General features: G+C 42.3%; 1 protein-coding gene across 8 annotated transcripts in view; it reads left to right on the top strand.

The window, feature by feature from the left end:
- The window catches only part of RUBCNL (rubicon like autophagy enhancer), a 55,362-nt gene that overhangs the window by 16,575 nt on the left and 16,051 nt on the right, over positions 1–22,736 (top strand). For 4 of the 8 annotated variants that reach the window (NM_025113.5, NM_001286761.2, NM_001286762.3 and 1 more), the window contains 8 exons: positions 871–1,527; positions 4,653–4,735; positions 5,219–5,426; positions 10,255–10,353; positions 10,870–10,930; positions 11,895–12,027; positions 13,837–13,982; positions 16,972–17,036. In NM_025113.5, coding sequence (NP_079389.2) covers positions 993–1,527; positions 4,653–4,735; positions 5,219–5,426; positions 10,255–10,353; positions 10,870–10,930; positions 11,895–12,027; positions 13,837–13,982; positions 16,972–17,036 — 1,330 coding nt within the window. In that variant the 5' untranslated portion in view covers positions 871–992. The remainder of the gene's footprint in view (positions 1–870; positions 1,528–4,652; positions 4,736–5,218; positions 5,427–10,254; positions 10,354–10,869; positions 10,931–11,894; positions 12,028–13,836; positions 13,983–16,971; positions 17,037–22,736) is intronic. The other 4 variants (NM_001286764.3, NM_001286763.3, NM_001286766.3 and 1 more) reach the window with 2 other exon arrangements.

Here is a 22,736-nt window from a genome sequence, read left to right as displayed (position 1 = left end):
AGATTCATACTGTGTTCTTTAAATGTTATGAACTGAGAATACATTGATACTGATATTATAAGTATGAAAGGTAATATAAGTTACATGAAGCAAAGTCTTCAGTGCTATGGATCATCCCTCTGTTTTATGTACCACTTTGCCTACTTTGTTGAAACACAAGAACAAACTAAATGAAAATAAGAACATATGGAAATGGCTGGGCGCAGTGGCTCATGCATGTAATCCCAGCACTTTGAGAGGCTGAGGCGAGTGGATCACCTGAGGTCAGGAGTTTGAAACCAGCCTGGCCAACATGGTGAAACCCCGTCCCTACTAAAAATACAGAAATCAGCCAGGCGTGGTGGCACGTGCCTGTAATCCCAGCTGCTCGGGAGGCTGAGGCACCAGAATAGCTTGAACCTGGGAGGCGGAGGTTGCAGTGAGCCGAGATGGCCCCACTGCACTCCAGGCTGGGTGACAGAGTGAGACTCTGTGTTTAAAAAAAAAAAAAGAAAGAAAGAAAATGTGGAAATGTGTCTTTACTTCCAGATAGTATTCCTGTCTTGGATTTGACATTTAATTTTATTAAAATAATTTTGATGCATGGATGTTTTACATTTTTATGGGATTTATCAGTTGATCCTTTGTGATTTCTTAATTTTATGCTTTGAAGAATGTTTCCTCTCCCAATGTCAAGCCTCTGTAGGTTTACTGCTAGTTTTATGGCTGATTTATTTATTTTTTCACTTATAAATCCAAGCGGGCTTTACTATGTTGGATAGAGCCAAGTACAGACTTCTAAATTTTTTGGGTTTTGCCATCTCAAAATAATTTGTAGCCAAAATACAATTGAATTCTTACTTATTTTGAATGATTCCTTGCTCATTGCAGAATAGCTCTCCAGACCCCCAGCTGGCCATGTGGTGAGTTCAGGGCCCAAATCAAGTAGTACCAGCAATCAGGGAACTCCTATCTGTTTTGAATGGATTCACACCAGCCACAAGCCTGGAAAGATGGTGTCACAATCTACAGTCAGGCAGGATTCTCCTGTGGAGCCCTGGGAAGGGATCAGCGATCACTCTGGCATTATTGATGGTTCGCCCAGACTCCTGAACACTGACCATCCTCCTTGCCAATTAGACATCAGGCTCATGAGGCACAAAGCTGTCTGGATTAACCCCCAGGATGTGCAGCAACAGCCGCAGGACTTGCAATCTCAGGTGCCAGCAGCAGGGAACAGTGGGACCCATTTTGTGACAGATGCTGCCTCTCCCTCAGGCCCTTCACCTTCGTGCCTCGGGGACTCCCTGGCAGAGACAACGTTGTCTGAGGATACCACAGACTCCGTTGGCAGCGCTTCTCCCCATGGCTCGAGTGAAAAGAGTAGCAGCTTCTCTCTGTCCTCAACAGAGGTACACATGGTCCGCCCAGGATACTCTCATCGGGTGTCTCTGCCCACAAGCCCTGGGATTTTGGCCACCTCCCCATATCCTGAGACTGACAGTGCTTTTTTTGAGCCTTCCCATCTGACATCTGCTGCTGATGAAGGTAATTTTAGTAGGTGACCTCCCTCATTCCTCTCTGTTCACACCCTTGCTTCGCCTTGCTCTAAAGCCTGCCTTGTTGTCTTCCCCATGGGACAATGCATTGCCTCATCTAATATTGTCAGCAGCCCAGCCATCTGGGCGGTCACAACAGGTGAAATCAAATATTGGCTTTCTCCTTAGACTGCAGAGAATTGTTATCTTTTTAGCTTAATGTAGTTGATAATCAGTGCCATGTGCCATCTTTAAGCTGGCGTCTGCCTTCAGGAACTTAGAGCTCATTAAATTGTCTACAGGGGAGAGCATCGGAAGCACTCTCAAGTCAGTGTGGAGGTTGGAGGTGTTTCCAGACAGCCACGGGGTCTGCATTTCACACCAGTACCTAGTAGGTGGTGAAGTCACTTCACTTGTTATATTTACCTGTATAGAATCTGACAGGAAAATGGTAAGATTTTTAAACAATAACTACAGTTTCCCCTGAAGACTATACAAAACCCCTTTTTATTAAAACAAGGGCTCTCACTGCTATGAAGTAATGTACATATTCCTAAGACCCTAAAATTCCTAAAAATTGGATAATCCGTGCGAAGTACTACTCAAGAGTCAATAAATTAGCTATTATTGTTATAATCTGTGACATGTTTATTTCATTTTAAAATATTTGTTATAGTCACACTTGTCATTATTAATTTACATTTCTATTCAAACCCTAGTATAAATAATCAATGAAGCTTTTTCTTTCAAAGCAATTTAAAAAGTCATCAGTCTGCCTGCTGCCTGCCTGTCTATTTCTCTGTATATTTATTTCTCACTAGCAGGAGCTCATCTTCCCCCTTACCTAAAATATGGAGTTTATGTGTTCTTTTGGAAATGTTTGAGCAATCAAAGATGATGACAGTCTTTAACACATTTATTCATTGCTTAAGAAGAACAAATTTTGGACAATCTTTCAATGGTTAATTTTGAGATAAGGACCAAGTTTGAGCAAAATGACAAGACTGATTACAGGCCTTTTTTTTTTTTTTTTCCTATTTTTTTGCTCACTTGCTTGGATAGTTCTAAGGATTAAGAGTGACTTGCAAATTTAGTAGTGGCTAAGTGAGAGATTAGTCTTAATAGATTGTCTTATAGAGGAAAGCCCTCTCCCCAACAGAGAACCACCATAATGACAAGTTATAATAAACTGAAGATGATCTTTGGGGCCTAGCATACCCTTGCCTGAAACTTTTTATTCTATCATGGTACAGGAAGTAGTTCTACAATTTAAAATTATCCTTTAGCTTTTTCTTTTACTCAGAAAGAAAACAGATACCCCAGCCCCTTTTGCCCAAAGACAAGGACTCCCAACAGCTCCTGTCAGTGCCTTTAGAAACAACTCACGGAATGTTTTGAGAATATCTCTTAAACTCAGTAAGGGGATTCATTCTTTAAGATTAAGAAAAAGAAGCCTTGAGTGATCTGGTTCTTTCTTTCTCTGGTGCGGAGGCAGCAATAGGGAAAACAGCCATTGGCCACTAAGATGTGGACATTCCTATGACCGCTGCATCTCAGATGGCGGCAAAAGGGTTTTCTTTTTTCAGAAAATACTTTAGGGAAAGACTATCGGCCTCTGTAAGCATTTCTTAAGGCTGTAGGAAGGGATTCCACAGTTTATTTTGTTGGCATAGGAACTACACATTTACAAGCACTTTCACCTTCCTTTATCTCCTTAGTGTCCTGATAAATATCCCAATTTAAGGGCTGAGAGCGTTTTGATGCAGAGGCACAGCTGGTGAACGGACAGCTGGAACTGGAATCCACTCTGTTCCGATTCTTCTCTGTGCTCTTTCCTCTATACTCAGAGTCTGCAAACTATGACCTGTGGACCAAATCCTGCCAGCTTCCTGTTTTTATAAATGAATTTCTCTTGTGTCTATAGCTGCTTTCTCACTACAGCGGCAGAAGAGAGTGGTTGAAACAGATACTGTATGGCTCTCAGATCCTCCAATATATACCAGCTAGCTGTTTACAGGAAAAGTTTGCCAGCCATAGCTTCTGAAGCTAAGAAGTCCAAATTTTTCCATGCAACAACTACTTTCTTGAACATGAAGCAAGGGATTTGAATGACTCTGCTTGCAACTCCATCATGCTGAGAGCTGTGTCACCACCATGTGCAGCATTTTGTTCTAATTTAGCAGGTTGGGACATCTCAGCTCTTGACACAGAAATTTTTGCTTTAAATGCTGCAGTAAGAAATCACATGACAGAAAAAATGTTTGTTTTGATGGTGGTCATTGCCAGTAATGGAGTGGCTAAGGGTGCAGGAATGGATGTGTCAGCAGAATGTACCTTCTGCAGTTTGTTGGTTTTGACTGGAAGAAGACTAACTTAGAGAAGCAATGCTGACCTTTTTTGGATGGATTTTATTTCTCTAGACAGGAGGTTTAGGGCTGGGTGCAGTGGCTCAATCTGCCTGTAATCTCAGTGCTTTGAGAGGCTGAGGTGGAAGGATAGCTTGAGCCCAGTGATTTGAGACCAGCCTGGGCAAGCTAATGAGACCCCCATCTCTGCAAAAATAATTTAGAAAATCAGCTGGTCATGGTGGCACCTGTAATCTCAGCTGCTAGGGAGGCTGAGGTAGAAGAATCGCTTGAGCCCAGGAGGTTGAAGCCGCACTAAAGTGTGATCACGCCGCTGCACTCTAGCCTGGGTGACAGAGCGAGATATTGTCTCAAAAGAAGAAGAAGAAAGGAAGTTTAAGATCAATCACAATGAGCTAGAGAAGCGATCTCATAATCCTTAGGACCCTGCTTTTGGACTGTGGCTTCTCACTTTACCCCAGCCCCTGTTGGGATTTCCCAGGACCCTATTCTCTTTCTACCCTCTTTTCCTCATTGGTCTCCTCCACTCCGGTGGCTGAGGATACCTCCCAGTTACTCCAACAGCCTCTCCTAGAAATGATCATCATTAAAGCAATATCTGTAAGACCTGCCATCGGAAAGATCTTTCTTTTCCTGTCATCTGAATTTATTCTAGAATTGTGCTTATTTTTTTACATTATTTAAAAGCCACTTCCTATAATTGTTTTATTTTATTAGGTAATCTTTAAACTCCCTTTTCCCCATTTTTAACAATTTGCTATATTGGCAGGTGCTGTTCAAGTCAGTAGAAGAACCATTTCTTCGAATTCCTTCTCACCAGAGGTATTTGTGCTGCCTGTTGATGTAGAAAAGGTGAATGCTATCTTCTTTCTTTTTAACCATAGAGTCTTAATCCTTTAGATAGTGTTGTTCTGATTTAAATCTGGAAACTTCAATTTGATGAATCATTACAAATAGGTTTCCTTTCAGCATTTGATTGATGGAGACTGCCAGAAACACTAAGCTAAGAAGGGTTCCGAGGCCGTGCCTGTGCTCAGCTGGAAAGTTTTCTGTGATTGATGAATGATGTCTGGCATTAGGCTTCCCCCAACCTAAGGTTTTGTATAACAAGAAATCCAATTTGAGTTGTCCGTTGATTATAGTAAGCCGAATCTATGTCTCTGGACAATGTGTGCTATAAGTCATAGAGTGACCTATGATAACTCAGTTAAATGAATATTTATACTGATATGCATTAATTCCACTTAAATAGAGCATATTGATTTTTCAAATCTAATATACCCTCCATGAAAAAGTTGATTATGCTTGTATTTTAATTGATTTCTTTTTCTGCAGGAAAATGCCCACTTTTATGTTGCAGATATGATTATATCAGCAATGGAGAAAATGAAGTGTAACATTCTGAGTCAACAGCAGACAGAGAGCTGGAGTAAAGAAGTCAGTGGGTTACTTGGGAGTGATCAGCCTGACTCTGAAATGACTTTTGATACCAACATAAAGCAAGAGTCTGGGTCTTCTACTTCTTCATACAGTGGCTATGAAGGCAAGTTGGGCAAATATGAGAAAGCTGTATGTTATGTGTTTCACATATATCTCCTCTATAATTACCCCTTATCCACGGGGCATATATTCCAAGACTCCCAGTGGAAGCCTGAACCTTCAGATAGTACCAAACTCTATATACACTACTTTTTTTTTGTTCTTGTAACCAAGAGGGTTACTAAGTGACTAGTGGGTGGGTAGTATATACAGTGTGGTATGCTGGACAAAGGATGATTCATGTTCCAGAGGGGACATGGCAAGACGTGTGGGAGTTCATCATCCTACTCAGGATGGTGCACAATTTAAAACTTAAGAATTGTTCATTTCTGGAACTTTTCATTGAATATTTTTGGACCAGTTGACAGCAGGTAACTAAAACCACGGGAAGTAAAACTGCAGATAAAGCAGGACAAATGTATGTCTTTAAATCCTTTGTCTAAAAACTTCTTGAGTAACCTCTGTAATCCTCACCCTTTCTGCCATCTTGGGTCAGGATTGGTTATCATGCTCCGTTCAGTTGTCAAATCCTATGTTTTGTTTTGTTTTGTTCTTTTAATCTTGGACTTCATCCTACTTTTCTTTTTCACTGGAAATAAACGTGGCTGATGTCTCCTCGTCCTTTGTTTTCTGTCACATGGCATTCTCCTAGCTGTTCTTACACCATCTTTCCTTTTCCAATGAATCTTCTTTTTTTCATTCAGTAATGGGCCTGTGCTGTGCTAGGTGCTGAACATCAACAGTATGCAGGGTGTGCTCCTTCCCTCAAGGAGTCTGCGTGCTGGAGCATGGGACCGGGAAGCCCTGTGGGGTAACCTGTAGAACAGAGGTGGGGACCCAGCACAGTGCGTCACTGTCACTGAGGAGGAGTGCCTCGGCTCACTCTGGGACCTGGGGGCTCTTCCCCGAGGGACGAGTGCCTAAGCCGATAGCTCATGTTAGGGTTTGCTACTTTCTTACCATTTCTTAAGTCCTGCCTCCAGTCCTATATTCTTTTTTTAATCTGTATTTGCTTCCTGGCAGATTTAACCTACTATACACCTTCAATTATTCCTTCTCAGCTATTATCTCCTGAATCTATGTTTTCAGTCCTGGACATCTCTTCTAAGTGCTTGCTCTCTAAGGCTGGAGGCTTGTCCGTCTGGCTGGCCCCCCAGGACCTGTGACTTAATACTTCATTTCTGGGTGACTTAAAATGCTTCATTTTATTCATTGTTGATATATGTTCACTGCAACATAAAGGTGGGTGTAGTTAACCTATAACTTAATATGTCTAAACTAGTCATCTCTCCATCACTCTCTCACAATCCCCTTCTTTCCAAAGAAAACCACTGAAGCTTGCTTTTCTTCTTGACTTCCTTTACTACACGTTAATCAGGAATACTCAATAACAAAGGAAGAACTCACTCCATATGGTGTATAGCATAATGCCTGGCACAGAATAGGTATATGATCAAATACCTGTTGAATGCACTAACTGGCTCAAATTAAAAGGGTTGTTTTGTCTTAAGATATAGAACATTCTCACTGAACCCAGTGGTGGGAAATATATCTGGGACACATATGACCAGTGTAGACAAAGCTCCAGTGTCTATCTTTTCGGGGACTTTGGGCCTCTCATCTCTTCTTTTCTAGCAATTGCTTCATTCTTTTTCTGTAGCCTACCTACTTCTACCCACCCCTGGCATCTAGTTTCAGCTCTGCAGTCTTCCTGACCACTCAGCCAGGTCACATCTCAACAACTCAGTTTTGCAGGACCCTCAGTCCAGATCCCAGGACAGAGCACCTGATGGGCCTTACCTTGGTTAGATGTCCATAACTGGTTGGTCAGATGCAGCCAGGGGGCGGGGAAATCTGATATGGACGATCGTGCCCTCTGAGGCTACCAGTAGGGAGAAAATGAATGTGGGTGGAGAAGAAGTAATTCCTATTTAGTATACTGGACTCTTCCTTCTTCTGTGGTCTTGTGCTCCTGTCCCGTTTCTAGTTAGTAAACAAATCAATCCTGACTTCTCAGTCGTAATCACTTCTCTTCCATCCATTTCCCATTTCTATCCCTTACCTGGCCCGCTGCAGTAGCCTTCTGGCTAGTCATTTTGTAAGGACTACAATTTAGTTCTTTAATACCGATTTGGTTTAATTTTCTCTCTTTACTTTCAACTTGTTTCCCCTAGTTGATCCTGCATGTATCTGTCTTCCTGGATCACAACTTTTTGTCCTCTATAATGGCTTGCTGAGCTTTTGCCACATTTTATTCTGGAATTTTTAGCCTTGTGGCATCCAGCTGCTTCCTGCCTTTTAAACAGGAATCTCGTGCCATTCCCCTTGGCTGGATGGTGGGCTGTAGTTGAACTAGACTGTGTATAGTTGCTGGCAGACATTTCCCCCCATGGCTTTGGGAAGGATGTCCTGAAATGTGGGTTCCCCCAGTAACCACACATCAGGTCTTTCATCCTTCGCATCCTTCAGAAGCAATGTCCTGCCACTGTCACTGTGACATGCTCCCTGGTTTGTATCCCAGGGGAGGAGCACCATCCATGTGGAATGAAACACAGGTTGTGCTCCAGAATGCTCCAGTGCCATCTGCATGCTCGTCTTTCCCTGGAGTTGTGTAGTGCAGAACCTTGCCTCAGAACTTCTCAAGGCCCATGCAATGCAACTGTGTTTTTTGTGTGTGTACGTGGTTTAGGTCTGTTCGTATCTCAGCTCCTTCATGAGATTTTTTTTTTTTTTTTTTTTTTTTGAGATGGAGTCTTTCTCTGTTGCCCAGGCCGGAGTAGAGTGGTGCGATCTCGGCTCACAGCAACCTCTACCTCCCATGTTCAAACCATTCTTCTGCCTCAGCCTCCCAAATAGCTGGGATTACAGCCGCACACCATCACGCCCAGCTAATTTTTGTATTTTTAGTAGAGACGAGCTTTCACCATGTTGGCCAGGCTGGTCTCAAACTCCTGACCTCAGGTGATCCGCTTGCCTCGGCCTCCCAAATTGCTGGGATTACAGGCACGAGCCACCACACCCAGCCTTTCATGAGATTTTAAACTCTTAGATGGCTGAGAAATTGTCTTCTTTGTATTTGTGTTTAGTATAATGCCTTGTCTGAAATAGGTATTTTTATAAATAGTGGTTGGGTGTAAATTGATGGTAGCTGAAACTTTAAGAAAACATGAATAAATATGAATATGTTAAATGAAAATTAAGAATATTTCTATCCTCCAAATATAAATATTTATCTTTTATTAAGTACTTCTTTTGTGACATTTGTGGCAATAGATGTTCCTCCATGAGGTGGGTTGGTATTACTCAAACTGCCAGTTGGTCCTGAGAACATTAAAAAAAAAAAAAACAAGGGTAGAAAATAGCAGAGTGCATCTCACTGAGGGTGAGCAATGTTTCCTGAAAGTTTTTTTTTTTTTATCAGTTAAACATATTATTGTGTCTGTACTAAGTCACAATGTAAATTGTACGTTACTATGGATGATGGGCAAAAGACAGTGAAAAACACAGATGGGTGCTCTTACCCCCATTCTATCCATGAGGAAACTGCAGCTGGAAGTGGTGGTTGTCCATCGTCACCCAGCTAGAATGGGTTCTGTCTTAAAGTCAGCCAGCCTACTGTAAAACCCTTCACATAACTTCTTTTTTTTTTGAGATGGAGTCTGTCTGTGTTGCCTAGGCTGGAGTGCAATGGTGTGGTTTTAGCTTACTGCAACCTCTGCCTCCCAGGTTCAAGCGATTCTCCGGCCTCAGCCTCCCAAGTAGCTGGGACTACAGGCACCTGCCACCACACCTGGCTAATTTTTTTTGTATTTTTAGTAGAGATGGGGTTTCACCTTGTTGGCCAGTCTGGTCTCAAACTCCTGACCTTGTGATCCGCCTGCCTCAGCCTCCCAAAGTGCTGGGATTACAGGCATGAGCCACTGCGCCCAGCCCACATAACTTCTATGTAAACTATGGGCTAGGCTATTTCCTTAAACAACTGTATTCCTTTTTCTGTGTTTCTCTCCTATGTTTATTCAAATGAAGACAGTTTTACAAATTTATATTTACAATGATTATATAATTATATTAATAATATAATAATGATTATTAATGCTATTATCAGTATTATTAATAGTATTAATACTATTCATACTACTAGTATTAATAATCATGTTGCTATAGTTTTCACTTTTTTTTTTTTTTGAGACAGGGTCTTACTCTGTCACCCAGGCTGGAGTGCAGTGGCATGATCTCAGCTCACTACAATCTCCGCCTCCCAGGCTCAAGTGATTCTCCCACCTCAGTCTTTTGAGCAGCTGGGACTACAGGTGCTGGCCGGGCCACCACACTGGGCTAATTTTTTTGTATTTTTTGTAGAGACGGGGGTTCTGCCATGTTGCCCAGGCTGGACTTGAACTCCTGGGCTCAAGTGATTCTCCTACCTCAGCCTCCTGAGTAGCTGGGACTACAAGTGCACGCCCCTGCCCCTGGCAGATTTACATTTTTAAATGATAGTATTTAATCGTGTGATTTGCAAAATCAATTTCCTATTATTAAACGTTTAGATGCTTTCAGTGTTTCAATATTTTAAAACATTGGATGGACTGCAGATAGCTTCTTTGTGATGAAAGCCTTCCGAATAGCTGGGACTACAGGCACTTAATCATAGTGAGTGCAAAAAGAACACACAAATAGTTCCCCAGTTTTTTAATTCTTTAAGTTGAAATGTTTAATTCTCTTAAACTTTTAGCCCTCTTCATTTCCCAATTTCTATTTAGTTGGGTGTTGCAGGTTGTACAGTTTTTCTTTTTCTTCTTATTGGTAAAAACCTCCTTCCTTTCTTTGTCTAGGTTGTGCTGTGTTACAGGTCAGCCCAGTGACTGAAACACGTACTTACCATGATGTGAAAGAGATTTGCAAATGCGATGTTGATGAATTTGTTATTTTAGGTAAGATTTGGAAACTGTTTGGATGTGACTGGCTGCCTCCCCAATCCCATCCGCATACACACACTAACATGCATCACACACAACATTACGTTACAGTGGCATTCAAACCAACTTCTTCCAAAATCAGATTATGGCCCTGATATATATATATATATATATATATATATATATATATCTATATATATATATATGATGTTCTTGTTTCAAATGTCTGGATAGCTAATCTCTCATCTCACTTGTAGAGTTGAATGAAAAAGCAGATATTCATTATGGTCGGATATCTCTTTGGCCTCTCAGTTATATTTTGGTGAAATTTCAGATGAAATCCCATCTTTGATCATTATCTGTCCTCTCATTATCTGTTCTGTCCATTTCTCAGAACCTGAAGCATGGAGATGCTGAATAATTTGCTCTTTCTGAGATGCAGGGAGTGATTTTAGTGTTCTTATAAAATGGACTGCGATTAAATGAAACAGACTAAAAGACCTCACCACTCTTTCTTTTATTTTCCCACAGAGCTTGGAGATTTTAATGATATCACAGAAACCTGTAGCTGTTCCTGCAGCTCCTCTAAGAGGTATCTGTCTTCTGTGCACAGTGCACATAGACCCTTGGGCTGTCACCTCTGAGGCAGTGTGAAACCTAGGCCTCTGACATTCTGGGCCCACTTTAGCTAGTTCCAGTGATTTGTTCCCATGAATCTAGGAGAGTATCACCTAGAAATGAAACAATCACCCCCAAAGTTTCTATAGTGTTTTACAATATATAAAAGGCTTTTGTATGCATTTTCATTTAATCCTCATTTCAGTTAAACAGGTTGGGTGAATTTTATGTATGCATGTGTGTGTATATTTATGTTTTTGTTGTTGTTGTTTTTGAGACCGAGTTTTGCTCTTGTCACCCAGGGTAGAGTGCAATGGCCCAATCTCGGCTCACTGCAACCTCCGCCTCCTGGGTTCAAGCAATTCTCCTGCCTCAGCCTCCTGAATAGCTGGGATTATAGGCACCTGCCACCACACCTGGTTAATTTTTTTTTTTTTTTTGTATTTTTAGTAGAGATGGGGTTTCACTATGTTGACCAGGCTGGTCTTGAACTCCTGACCTCAGGTGATCCGCCTGCCTCAGCCTCCCAAAATTCTGGGATTACAGGTGTGAGCCACCATGCCCGACCATATATTTATGTATTTTTAAACCTCATTTTATAGACATAAAAATTGAGACTCATATATAGGATGTGCTTCGGGACACGAAGGCTGTGAGGTAGAAGTAGGGCTTGAATGCAGGTCTTCTGACTCTAAAGCCAGTGCTCTTTCACCACACCTCTAAGTCTTAGCGCCCTCAGTAAATAAAAGATGCTTTATTTATTGAACATGCAGGAGCCATGTTGAGTAAGATGCCTGGTGAGTGATTCATGCGTCATCTCATATGACAGCCTCTTCTGAGTTTTGGGGGCTGGGAAGAACAGTTGAAAACCTCAGGAAGACCCTGAACATACTCCTCATGAATATAGTTTTCCAGTATTTGCATCTCTTACATTTCAGTGTCACTTATGAGCCAGACTTCAATTCTGCAGAACTATTAGCCAAAGAGCTGTACCGCGTGTTCCAGAAGTGCTGGATACTGTCAGTAGTTAATTCTCAGCTGGCAGGTTCCCTGAGTGCAGCTGGCTCGATAGTAAGTATCAAAAAAAATTGACCTTGAATTGAAAGTTCCTAAATCCTCATTTTGCCTGCCCTGTTCACTTTAAACATTTGTCTTTCCTTGTATGGTCACTGGATATTAGGGGAGACTCAAAATGAATGAGGAAACTGGCATGTGTTGAGTACTTATTGTGTACCAGAGACTGTGCTCAGCAGTCCACATTATTTTATTTTATTTATTAATTTTTTTGAGACGGATTCTTGCTCTGTCACCCAGGCTGGAGTGCAGTGGCGCAATCTCAGCTCACTGCAACCTCCGCTTCCTGGGTTCAAGCGATTCTCCTGCCTCAGCCTCCCAAGTAGCTGGGACTACAGGCGCACGCCACCACGCCCAGCTAACTTTTTTGTATTTTTAGTAGAGACAGGGTTTCACCATGCTGGCCAGCTGGTTTCCAACTCCTGACCTCAAGTGATCTGCCCACCTTGGCCTCTCAAAGTGCTAGGATTATAGGCCTGAGCCACCGTGCCCGGCCAGCAGTCCACATTTTAATCCTCATAAGTATCCTGTTAGGTAGAGGCTGTCCTTATTTTTATTTTTAAGTGGTGGGCCCAGCCTCCCAGCAGGGCTGGTCAGCTGTGAAGCAGGAGTCATGCCCAGGCTGCCTCATTGGAAAGTACATGTTGGTTCCCTCATGGAACACACTGCTCACTGCTGTCAGAGAGCAAGCAGCCTTCTGAGGGTAGAGAACATTATGACAAAGGCTAAAACAGGGGTAGGGAAAATGCCCTCGAAGTGCAGAGGAAGGAGTGTTTAATTTTACCAGGGGAACTTAGGAAGGCTGACTGCAGATTTCAGAACTTGAGCTAAGTATTGGGCTGGCCAGAACTGTGGCAGGTAGAAAGGTTGGGGGAGGACGTTCTTGGCAAAGGGGAGCTGCAGCAAAAGTGGAGGGGCATGCTATGCCGTTGAGCAGAGTGATTCGCTGCGGTTGGATAATACCCGTTTGTGAGTATTTGTGTCTGAGAGGTTGTTCTTTATGGAAATAAGGTTTGAATGATAGTAGCCAAATTGTGGAGGATGTAGAATGCTAATTTGAGAAGTTTGGATTTTATTTTATTTTATTTTATTTATTTTTTAAGATGGAGTCTCACTCTGTTGCCCAGGGTGGAGTGCAGTGGCACAAGCTCGACTCACTGCAACCTCCACCTCCTGGGTTCAAGCAATTTCTGGCTAACTTTTGTACTTTTAGTAGAGACAGGGTTTCACTATGTTGGCCAGGCTGGTCTCAAACTCCTGACCTCAAGTGATCCACCCACCTCGGCCTCCCAAAGTGCTAGGAAAACAAGCATGAGCCACTGCACCCAGCTGAGAAGTTTGGATTTTAAATGACAGTAGGAAAGTCCAGTGGTTCAGCGGGGAGGCACTGAACATTTGTAAGCAAGGGGAAAGGTCTTAATAGAGCTGTTTCTGGGGAAGACTAATAATGATAGGGGTTCTGATTGGTAGCATTTGTCAGTCTGTTGACTAAGAGGGGTGAGGCTTCTGCTATTCATAAATGCATTCCAGGTCAAAATGACCTACTTACAGTAAATTTGAAGTCTGGAAATAAATGAACTAAAAATACTAAGAAAAGTGATCTCATCTGGGTGGTGTTTAAAGCAATTCTCTTGCAGATGGCTTTAGAGATGTGGAGGGCTCTTGGTATGCCCTTTAGTTCAGTTAAAAGCACTGTTAATTTTTCATGGTAAATTTTAATGTTGGAAATACATTTAGATGTTTCTTTAATTTAAATTCTTTGAAATATGCTTAAGTTGTTCCTAAATCATTTTATGTCTTATGCAGGTCGTAAATGAAGAGTGTGTCCGAAAAGACTTTGAATCCAGTATGAATGTAGTACAGGAAATTAAATTTAAGTCTAGGATCAGAGGGACTGAAGACTGGGCTCCTCCTAGATTTCAAATCATATTTAATATTCATCCACCACTCAAGTAAGTATGGGCTGTTGCTTGGGCCTCCAATCCATTTAAATCACATTGTGACAGATCCCACCTGACTCTATGGCAGTAGGTGAAAAAAATACATATGCTAAAGAACACAGGAAAATTTGTTTTAGGGAAAGGAAAGTTGGCTGTATTTTCTGGCTTAGGTTTTTTTTTTTTTTCCTCTTGTTTACCATGGACTTTTGGGGGCTCTGTAAGTTTTGACAAGTTGAGAATTCAGCTATGCAACCCTAATTGTCAATATTGCGTAGCAACTGAAAATTAAATAGGCTTAAAGGGGATTTTTAAAAGTGGCTAATATCAAAACTTAAAAATTATATACAATAATTTTTTAAAATGTGTTTCCTTTTTAAAAAAATTAGAGATGGGGTTTCACCATGTTGCCCAGGCTGGTGTTGGACTCCTGGGCTCAAGTGATCTGCCCACCTCAGCCTCCCAAAGTGCTGGGATTACAGGTGTGAGCCACCTCGCTCAGCCTATGATAATTTTAAAAGACTGGACCACTTTATCTTCCAGAACAATCAGTGTGAAATAAAAATGAATGAATAAACTTCTAAAAAAGGAACATTTAATCTTAGGGAAAGCACTTATAGTTAAGAAATGTTACAGAGGCCGGGTACGGTGGCTCACACCTGTCTATAATCCCAGCACTTTGGGAGGCCTAGGCTGGGGTCAGGGATCACCTGATGTCAGGAGTTTGGGGTCAGCCTGGGCAACATGGTGAAACCCTCTCTCTACTAAAAATACAAAAATAAACTAGGTGTGGTGGGTGCAGCCCTCTAATCCCAGCTACTCGGGAGGCTGAGGAGCAAGAATTGCTTTAACCCAGGAGGCAGAGGTTGCAGTGAGCTGAGATTGCACCAGTGCACTCCAGCTTGGGTGACAGAGCGAGACTCGATCTCAAAACCAACAAAAGAAATGTAACAAAATGTAAATAAAAATATGTTTGTTCTCTAAGAAGTAACAAAAGTTCTAAAAGACAAAACAACTAAGATTATGCAAAAAAGGAAATAAACCTATAAATTTAAAGTAATAGTTTAATTGTAATTTGTTCCGAGACTATAGGACAGATTATGATCAAAGATTATACACAAAACATTTTAACCAAGTATAATTTTTCCATCCCTCTTGGTTTGTATTCAATTTGGTGTGCAAACTGCCAAGCATTACAAAGGGACCGGTGAGGGTTGTTGACTGTGCCCAAGGGACTGGAGAGAGGTTGACTCTGCCCCACGGAGGTGCCTTATAGACTAGATCTTTCTTTTGTTTTTCTTTTTTTGAGAGAATGCCAAGAAAGTCTGTGGGGCTGCTTGGGCAGAACTCCCTGTCTAGGCATCGTGAGAGGTTGCTTTCCTTAGCCTGGGGTATCTTTTCTTTAGGGGTTTCCTAGGTCCTCACTATGGCACCTGGGCAGAGATTTAGCATATTTTTACCTTGGCCATCTTTTGCTGATCCTGAACTGTAAACAAATTTTACAATTTCCTTGGTATTTCCAAGTCACATGTAAAACTATGGGATAAACAGTTCAATAGAAAATCCCTCAGGCCGGGCACAGTGGCCAATGCCTGTAATCTCAGCACTTTGGGAGGCCGAGGTGGGCGGGATCACCTGAGGTCAGGAGTTCAAGACCAGCCTGGCTAACATGGCAGAACCCTGTCTCTACTAAAAATACAAAAATTAGCCGGGCATGGTGGTGCATGCCTGTGGTCCTAGCTACTTGGGAGGCTGAGGCAGGAGAACTGCTTGAACCTGGGAGGTGAAGGTTGCAGTGAGCTGAGATTGCACCACTGCACTCCAGCCTGGGCAACAGAATAAGACTCCATCTCAAAAAAAAAAAAAAAAGAAAGAAAATTCCTCAATGGAATGGAATATCTCTTACCAGAAATGATTTGATTTCTTTGTCTTACGTTACCTCTTATTCGTCTAAATTTCTTTAGATCCATTTGTGAATTTCCCAAGTGCATCATCTTTTGGTGTATGGCCTCCCTGAGCTGTCTTCCTTGTATAACATGTCTCTGGTTCTCTCTGGAGCTGGAACCCTGTACACGGGCATCGAGACCTCCCTAAAAACCCCTTGGAGTTATCAGTGACGCTGACTTCTGCTTTGGTTTTAGCAGAAGCTTTTTTTTTTTTTTTTTTTTGAGACGGAGTCTCACTCTATCGCCCAGGCTGGAGTGCAGTGGCGCGATCTTGGCTCACTGCAAGCTCCGTCTCCCGGGTTCACGCCATTCTCCTGCCTCAGCCTCCGAAGTAGCTGGGACCACAGGTGTCCACCACCACGCCCGGCTAATTTTTTGTATTTTTAGTAGAGACAGGGTTTGGCCAGGATGGTCTCCATCTCCTGACCTCGTGATCCGCCTGCCTCAGCCTCCCAAAGTGCTGGGATTACAGGCGTGAGCCACCGTGCCCAGCCTAGCAGAAGCTTTTAAAGAGATGTAGCTTTAAGGCTGGGCACGGCGGCTCATGCCTGTAATTCCAGCACTTTGGGAGGCCGAAGTAGGGGGATGACTTGAGGCCAGGAGTTCGAAACCAGTGTGGGCAACATAGAGAGACCCTATCTCTACCAAAAAAAAAAAAAAAAGTAAATAAAGCCAAAAAAAGCTAGCTGGGCATGGTGGCGTGTACATGTAGTCCTAGCTACCTACACAGGAGGCTGAGGATTGCTTGAGCTGAGCCGAGGAGTTTGAGGCAGTAGTGAACTATGATCATGCCAGTGCCCTCCAGCCTGCGTGACAGAGCAAGACCCTGTCTCAGGAAAAAAAATGAAAAATAAAAAAAATTAGTCATAGCTTTAAAAGACCCAGGGATTTCAACTAGAAAATTGTATTGAATAAATCTATTTCTTTCCCAAATGAAAAGTGACAAAGTTAAGGCCCTTAGTTAGAAAAGTATCACGATGGCAATTTCTTTTCTAATTAGTGAAAAATGTGCCATTGGCCTTCTCTGAAATGTAACTAGTATTATTTTTCGTATTCAGGAGGGACCTTGTGGTGGCAGCCCAGAATTTTTTCTGTGCCGGCTGTGGAACTCCAGTAGAGCCTAGTAAGTACGGATAATGGATCGCCTGCTTATGATGTGATGACAAGGTCCAGAATAGCAAAGTAGGGCAGCGCATTGCTTGTGTGAGAGATGCCTTTGATGAGAAGTTGTTATAAGAGCTTCAGAGAAGTTGCCCTCCTTTTCATGAGGAGTCCATCATGACTGACAAGGCTGTGTGATCAACTAGGACCGAGGACACCAGGACCAGCCTCCTAGTTCTCTCCCTGTTGGGCATCAGCTCCAGCCACGTGGCCTCCTGCTGCCCCTTGAAAATGCCAGGCTCACTTCTGACATATTTGCGTTTGTGGTTTTCTCTCCCCCAAATGCTCTCTCTGCAGACACCCCCATGACTAATTCCTTTGCTTCTTTCACATTTTCACTCCAAAGTCACGAGGTCTTCCCTTGCTGCCCTATCTAAAATACCTGTCTTGCCCCACTGCTGGCCACAGACAATCCCATGAACGCTTTATATTACCCATCCTTATTTTTTTTCTTTATTTTCTTGCACAATATTTTCTTAGAAGTTCCTTCTTATTTTGTATTCTTAGCACAGTCTTTCTAAAATAGTCTCTTATATTTTACTAATATGTCTTATTATTATCTGTCTTCAACACTAGATTATAAGTTCTGTGAGGCCACATGTGTTGTCTGTTGTATTTATTACTTTATTTCCAGCTTCTAGAAGAGTGCCTGGCACATAGTAGGTCTTCAAAAGATATTTGTTGAGTAAAGGAATGGCTTAACAAGGAGCTAGCCAAACTTCTCTGAGAGTTTGAGGAGGTAGCCTGAGAGGATCATTCCTGGGCCAACTGAGGCCTAGAAGATTAGGCTTTCCTGGGCCAGGCACGGTGTCTCCCACCTGTAATCCCAGCACTTTGGGAGGCTAAGGTGGGTGGATCACCTGAGGTCAGGAGTTTGAGACCAGCCTGGCCAACATTGTGAAACCACATCTCTACTAAAAATACAAAAAAATTAGCCAGGCATGGGTGGCAGGCTCCTGTAATCCCAGCTACTCGGGAGGCTGAGACAGGAAAATTCCTTGAAACCAGGAGGCAGAGGTTGCAGTGAGCCGAGATCACACTATTGTACTCCAGCCTGCATGACAAAGTGAGACTCCGTCTCAAAAAAAAAAAAAAAAAAGCTCGGGCTTTCCTCAGTCAGAAATGCAAGTTTCCCCCTTGAGACTGGGAATCACTTGTTCTGCTCTGATGGTACCTGTATGTCTGACCTGCAAAAGGCTGGAAAGAGGAGCTTTGTGGAAAGAGTTCCCTTAGCCTTTGATAGTCGGTTTTTGAAGGAAAAAGACTATGAGGAGCTCCTACTTCAAGAGATAAAAATAGCAAGCAGGAATCGATCTGGGCTTCCTCTCCTACACTGGATGATAATGCCTGACGGGCATCACCATTGTTGCTGATTTTCTTTGAATGAGTCATTTTCCCAGCACATCTAGTGGGGAACATGTCTCTTTGGTTAACCACTGTATCCTGGCGCTTCTGTAAATATTGAATGCATGAGTCAGAAACTGTACACATATGACTATCGCTCCACCAACTTTTTGTTATTTCCCTAAGCTTGTTCAGGTATGGAGATGTGTGTCTGCACTTTTGTACAGTGGCCTTGCCCTCAGGGAGCTTGCTTATCATCTTTTAGGGAAGATACACTCATCAGCCAAGTAAGTGTATGTAACACAAAGTGATGTACGTAACAAAAGAGTCAAGAGTGCCGTGGGATTTACAGCAAGGGAACTTCATCTGAGCTTGAGAAGCTGGGAGTAAGAGGTTTCATCGGAAAGTGATTGCCCACAGAAGTAGGGGTGTTCGTCATGTGCAAAGGGCCTGTGGCAAGTAAAAGAAACCCTGTGTGGCCAGAGAGTAAGAATAGGAGGAGAAAACATGCTGCAGATGTAGGCGGGGCCCAGATTGTAGACAGCATAGAAATAATTTTGGGCTTTTCCTGTTAAATTCCTCTAGCTTCTAGGATACATTTTTTTTAACTTTTGTCTTTGAGATAATTTTAGATTTACAGAAGAGTTGCAAAAAGAGTAGAGAGAGTTCCTGTACACCCTTCACCCAGCTTCCTCTACTGCTAACATCTTACATAATCATAGTTTCAACCTGAGAAATTAGCATGGGGTACAGTCCTATTAATGAAACCCCAGGCTTTATTCAGATTTCACCAGGTTTTCAGTAACATCCTTTATCTGTTTCAGAATTTAGTTGTCATGTTTTCCTTAGTCTCCTTCAATTTCCACACACTGAACATGACATTTTACCCTTTACTAGTTCAGTATATCCCAAAAATAAGGATAAGAAACAAGTTATCACACCAAAAAAATTAAAAACAATTCTCTATATTGTCTACTTCCTAGTCCTTTTTGTTCTTAAGGTATCATTTATGGCTATTTTTTCCATCAAGGTTGCAATCAAATTTCATACATTGCATTTAGTTATTGATTCTCTTTAGTTAGCTTTATTCTAGAACTGCACTATGCAGTATGGTAGCACTAGTCCACCTGGCTATTTAAAATTAAATTAATTGAAATTAAGAATTCAGTTCCTCAGTCACACTAACTACATTTCAAGTACTCAATAGCCACATGTAACTCATGGCTACTGTATTGGACAGCACAGATATAGAACACTTTTATCCCCATGGAAAGTTATACCGGACATCTCTGTTCTAGAATATTTCTCTTCCACCCAACCCCCTGATGCTGACTTTTCATAAAATGAGGACAATTGTGTTTTGGAGCAGGATTTCTCAACTTCAGTACCATGGACTTTGTCGTGGGGGGTCCTGTGCACTGTAGGATGTTTAGCAGCATCAGTAGGTGCCAGAAGCAGCTCCCAGTGGCCACTGAAAATGGCGCCAGACATTTGCAAATGCCCCTTGGGAGGCAAAATCACCCTTGGCCAAGAACCACTGGTTTAGGTCACTTTGTATTCTGTTTTAGTTAAAGGACTTAGGAAATTAAAAAAGATGGACATTAGTGTATTCTGTATTGATAGTATAACAGCATGTATTCAATGAAGTTTGATGAATGAGTGAATGGATATTGAGTGTGTGTTGAGGAGTAGATGAAACTGTTGCTACCAGAAGCTCACAGGTGCCTAACCCTGAATTTCCCCCAGGAGCAGTGGTTCAGTATTGACTAATTCAGTGTTCATGGCGACTCTAGAGAACATAACTATCATGAATAACAAAAAACAACTCTTTATTTGTTTGCTTTTAAACATCAACTCAGAGTGTGACCTGGGTCTGAGGGACAATTTGGGCAAGTGCAAAGGCGTTAGCTCCCTCTCCCTTTCCCACCATCGAATGCAGCGGAGGAGGAGTGGGACATGATGGCTGTGGGCTGGAGCTTTCGCAGTCCAGGCTTGGGTTGGAATCCTGCCTGCCTACATACTGTTCGTGTGGCCCTGCGTGTTGCCTAACTTCAGTGTCTTGTGCTTTCATCAGTGAAATAGGGGAAATAACTGTCCCTCTCTCACAGACTTTCGAGCACAGAATGACATAGTAAATGTAAAACATTTAACTGATCTGTGGCACAGAGTAAGTACTCAGCAAGATTCATTTCTGTGGTCGCTCCCAGCCAGGCCTTGTTTATTTTTTATTTTTATTTTTTTGAGATGGAGTTTCACGCTTGTTGCCCACCCAGGCTGGAGCGCAATGGCGCAATCTTGGCTCACTGCAACCTCTGCCTCCCGGGTTCAAGCAATTCTCCTGCCTCAGCCTCCCAAGTAGCAGGGATTACAAGCATGCACCGCCACTCCAATCTAATTTTGTATTTTTAGTGGAGATGGGGTTTCTCCGTGTTGGTCAGGCTGGTCTCAAATTCCCAACCTCAGGTGATCTGCCCACCTCGGCCTCCCAAAGTGCTGCGATTACAGGTGTGAGCCACCGCACCCGGCCAGGCCTTGTTTATTTTTAAAGCCATTATTTGGAAATGATCTTCAGAATCTACAGTGTACGGGTTCTACAGCAGCTGCTTTCCCATCCATGATTTCATTAATCCTCCCAGTATATGGCAACTAAGATTTCTGTTATGCTGTATGGTATTTTAGTTACAAAGACGTACATGACTCAAACTATGAATGATAAATATCAAACTTGGTTCATGTCAGAACCTAGTGTTGAGGGAGGGGCACATAGAAGACTTCAACTGAATTGTTTTCTTTCTGAAGCTGGGTGGTGAGTGCACAGGTATTTGTTGCATTAGTTTTTATACCTTTTGTTTGTTAATGTATTTTATTAGACACATTTCCAAAAGTGGTCAATGAGTGTTTATTTTAGTAGGTTAGAAAGTGCAGTGGGCGTGGTGGCTCACGCCTGTAATCCCAACACTTTGGGAGGCCAACATGAGTGGATCACTTGAGGTCAGGAGTTTGAGACCAGCCTGGCCAACATAGTGAAACCCCATCTCTACTAAAAATACAAAAATTAGCCGGGCATGGTGGCACGCCCTGTAGTCCCAACTACCGGGGAGGCTGAGGCAGGAGAATCACTTGAACCCAGGAGGGAGAGGTTGCACTGAACTGAGATCATGCCACTGCACTCCAGCCTGGGCAACAGAGCGAGACTCCTTCTCAAAAAAAAAAAAAAAAAAGTGTAAAGAGCAAAAATTCCTTCTTTCTCCTACCCTCCAGAAATAGTCACTGTTGGCTTTTTGGTGGGGATTTAGACAGTGAATATATGTTTATGTGTATGTTTATATATATGTTCTTAAATAAAATTGAGATCACATTATACCTATTTGTAACTGGATGTCCACTTCCTATGCTCTTCCGTGTACTTTATGGGCTGTACAGCATTTCATGTTGAGTGCACCATACTTATTTAACCAATTGCCTTTTGATGGACATTTTGGCTGCCACCCCCATTATAAATGTGCTGTAATGAACACCTTTTTATATCACTATGTGTGCCTGTTAGCACTTCTGTCTGATGGAGTAACAGAAGCAGGATTACTGTTACACATGTGAGAATTGAAGTCTATCACAAAAATGTCTTCCTACAAATTAGTTCTATCAGTGCTAGACGTAAGTGCCCTCCTCTAGATACTGCACCAGTTCTGGGTCTTCTAAATTTATGACAGGCTGAGTCAAAACAGAGTATCTCACTTTTCTTTTCTTTCATTTCATTTCAATTTAATTTTATTATTTGTCATCAATTTGTGACAGGGTCTCGCTCTGTTGCCCAGGCTGGATGGAATGCAGTGACATGATGATGGCTCACTGTAGCCTCCACCTTCAAGCAATCCTCCTGCCTTAGCCTCCCAAGTAGCTAGGACCACAGGCACACACCACATTGCCTGGCTAATTTTTTTTTTTTTTCTGTGGAGATGGGGTCCCACTATGTTGCCCACGCTGGTCTTGAACTCCTGGGCTCAAGCAGTCCTCCCATCTTGGCCTCCCAAAGTGCTAGGATTACTGGTACAAGCCACTGTGCTCAGCCTCACTTTTAAAATATGCATTTTTTTGTTTCTGAGATTGTTTTTCTCTGTTAGTTATCTGCATTTCTTCTTTCCGTGAATTACCTATTCCCATCCTTTGTGCATTTTTGTATTTTTTTCTCATTGATTTATCAAGGTCTTTATGATGCTGCTTCCTAACATTGTATATATACTGCTTCACAATTTATAAAGCACTTTTCCTATGTGTAATAACACTCGATCCAGTTCTGAGTTGCATTTTGTGGTCTCAG

This window comes from Homo sapiens, chromosome 13 (assembly GCF_000001405.40).
Source record: "Homo sapiens chromosome 13, GRCh38.p14 Primary Assembly".
Classification (NCBI taxonomy): Eukaryota; Metazoa; Chordata; class Mammalia; order Primates; family Hominidae; genus Homo; species Homo sapiens.
Note: the sequence above shows the minus strand (reverse complement) of the source record. Positions and strands in the feature narration are given on the sequence as shown.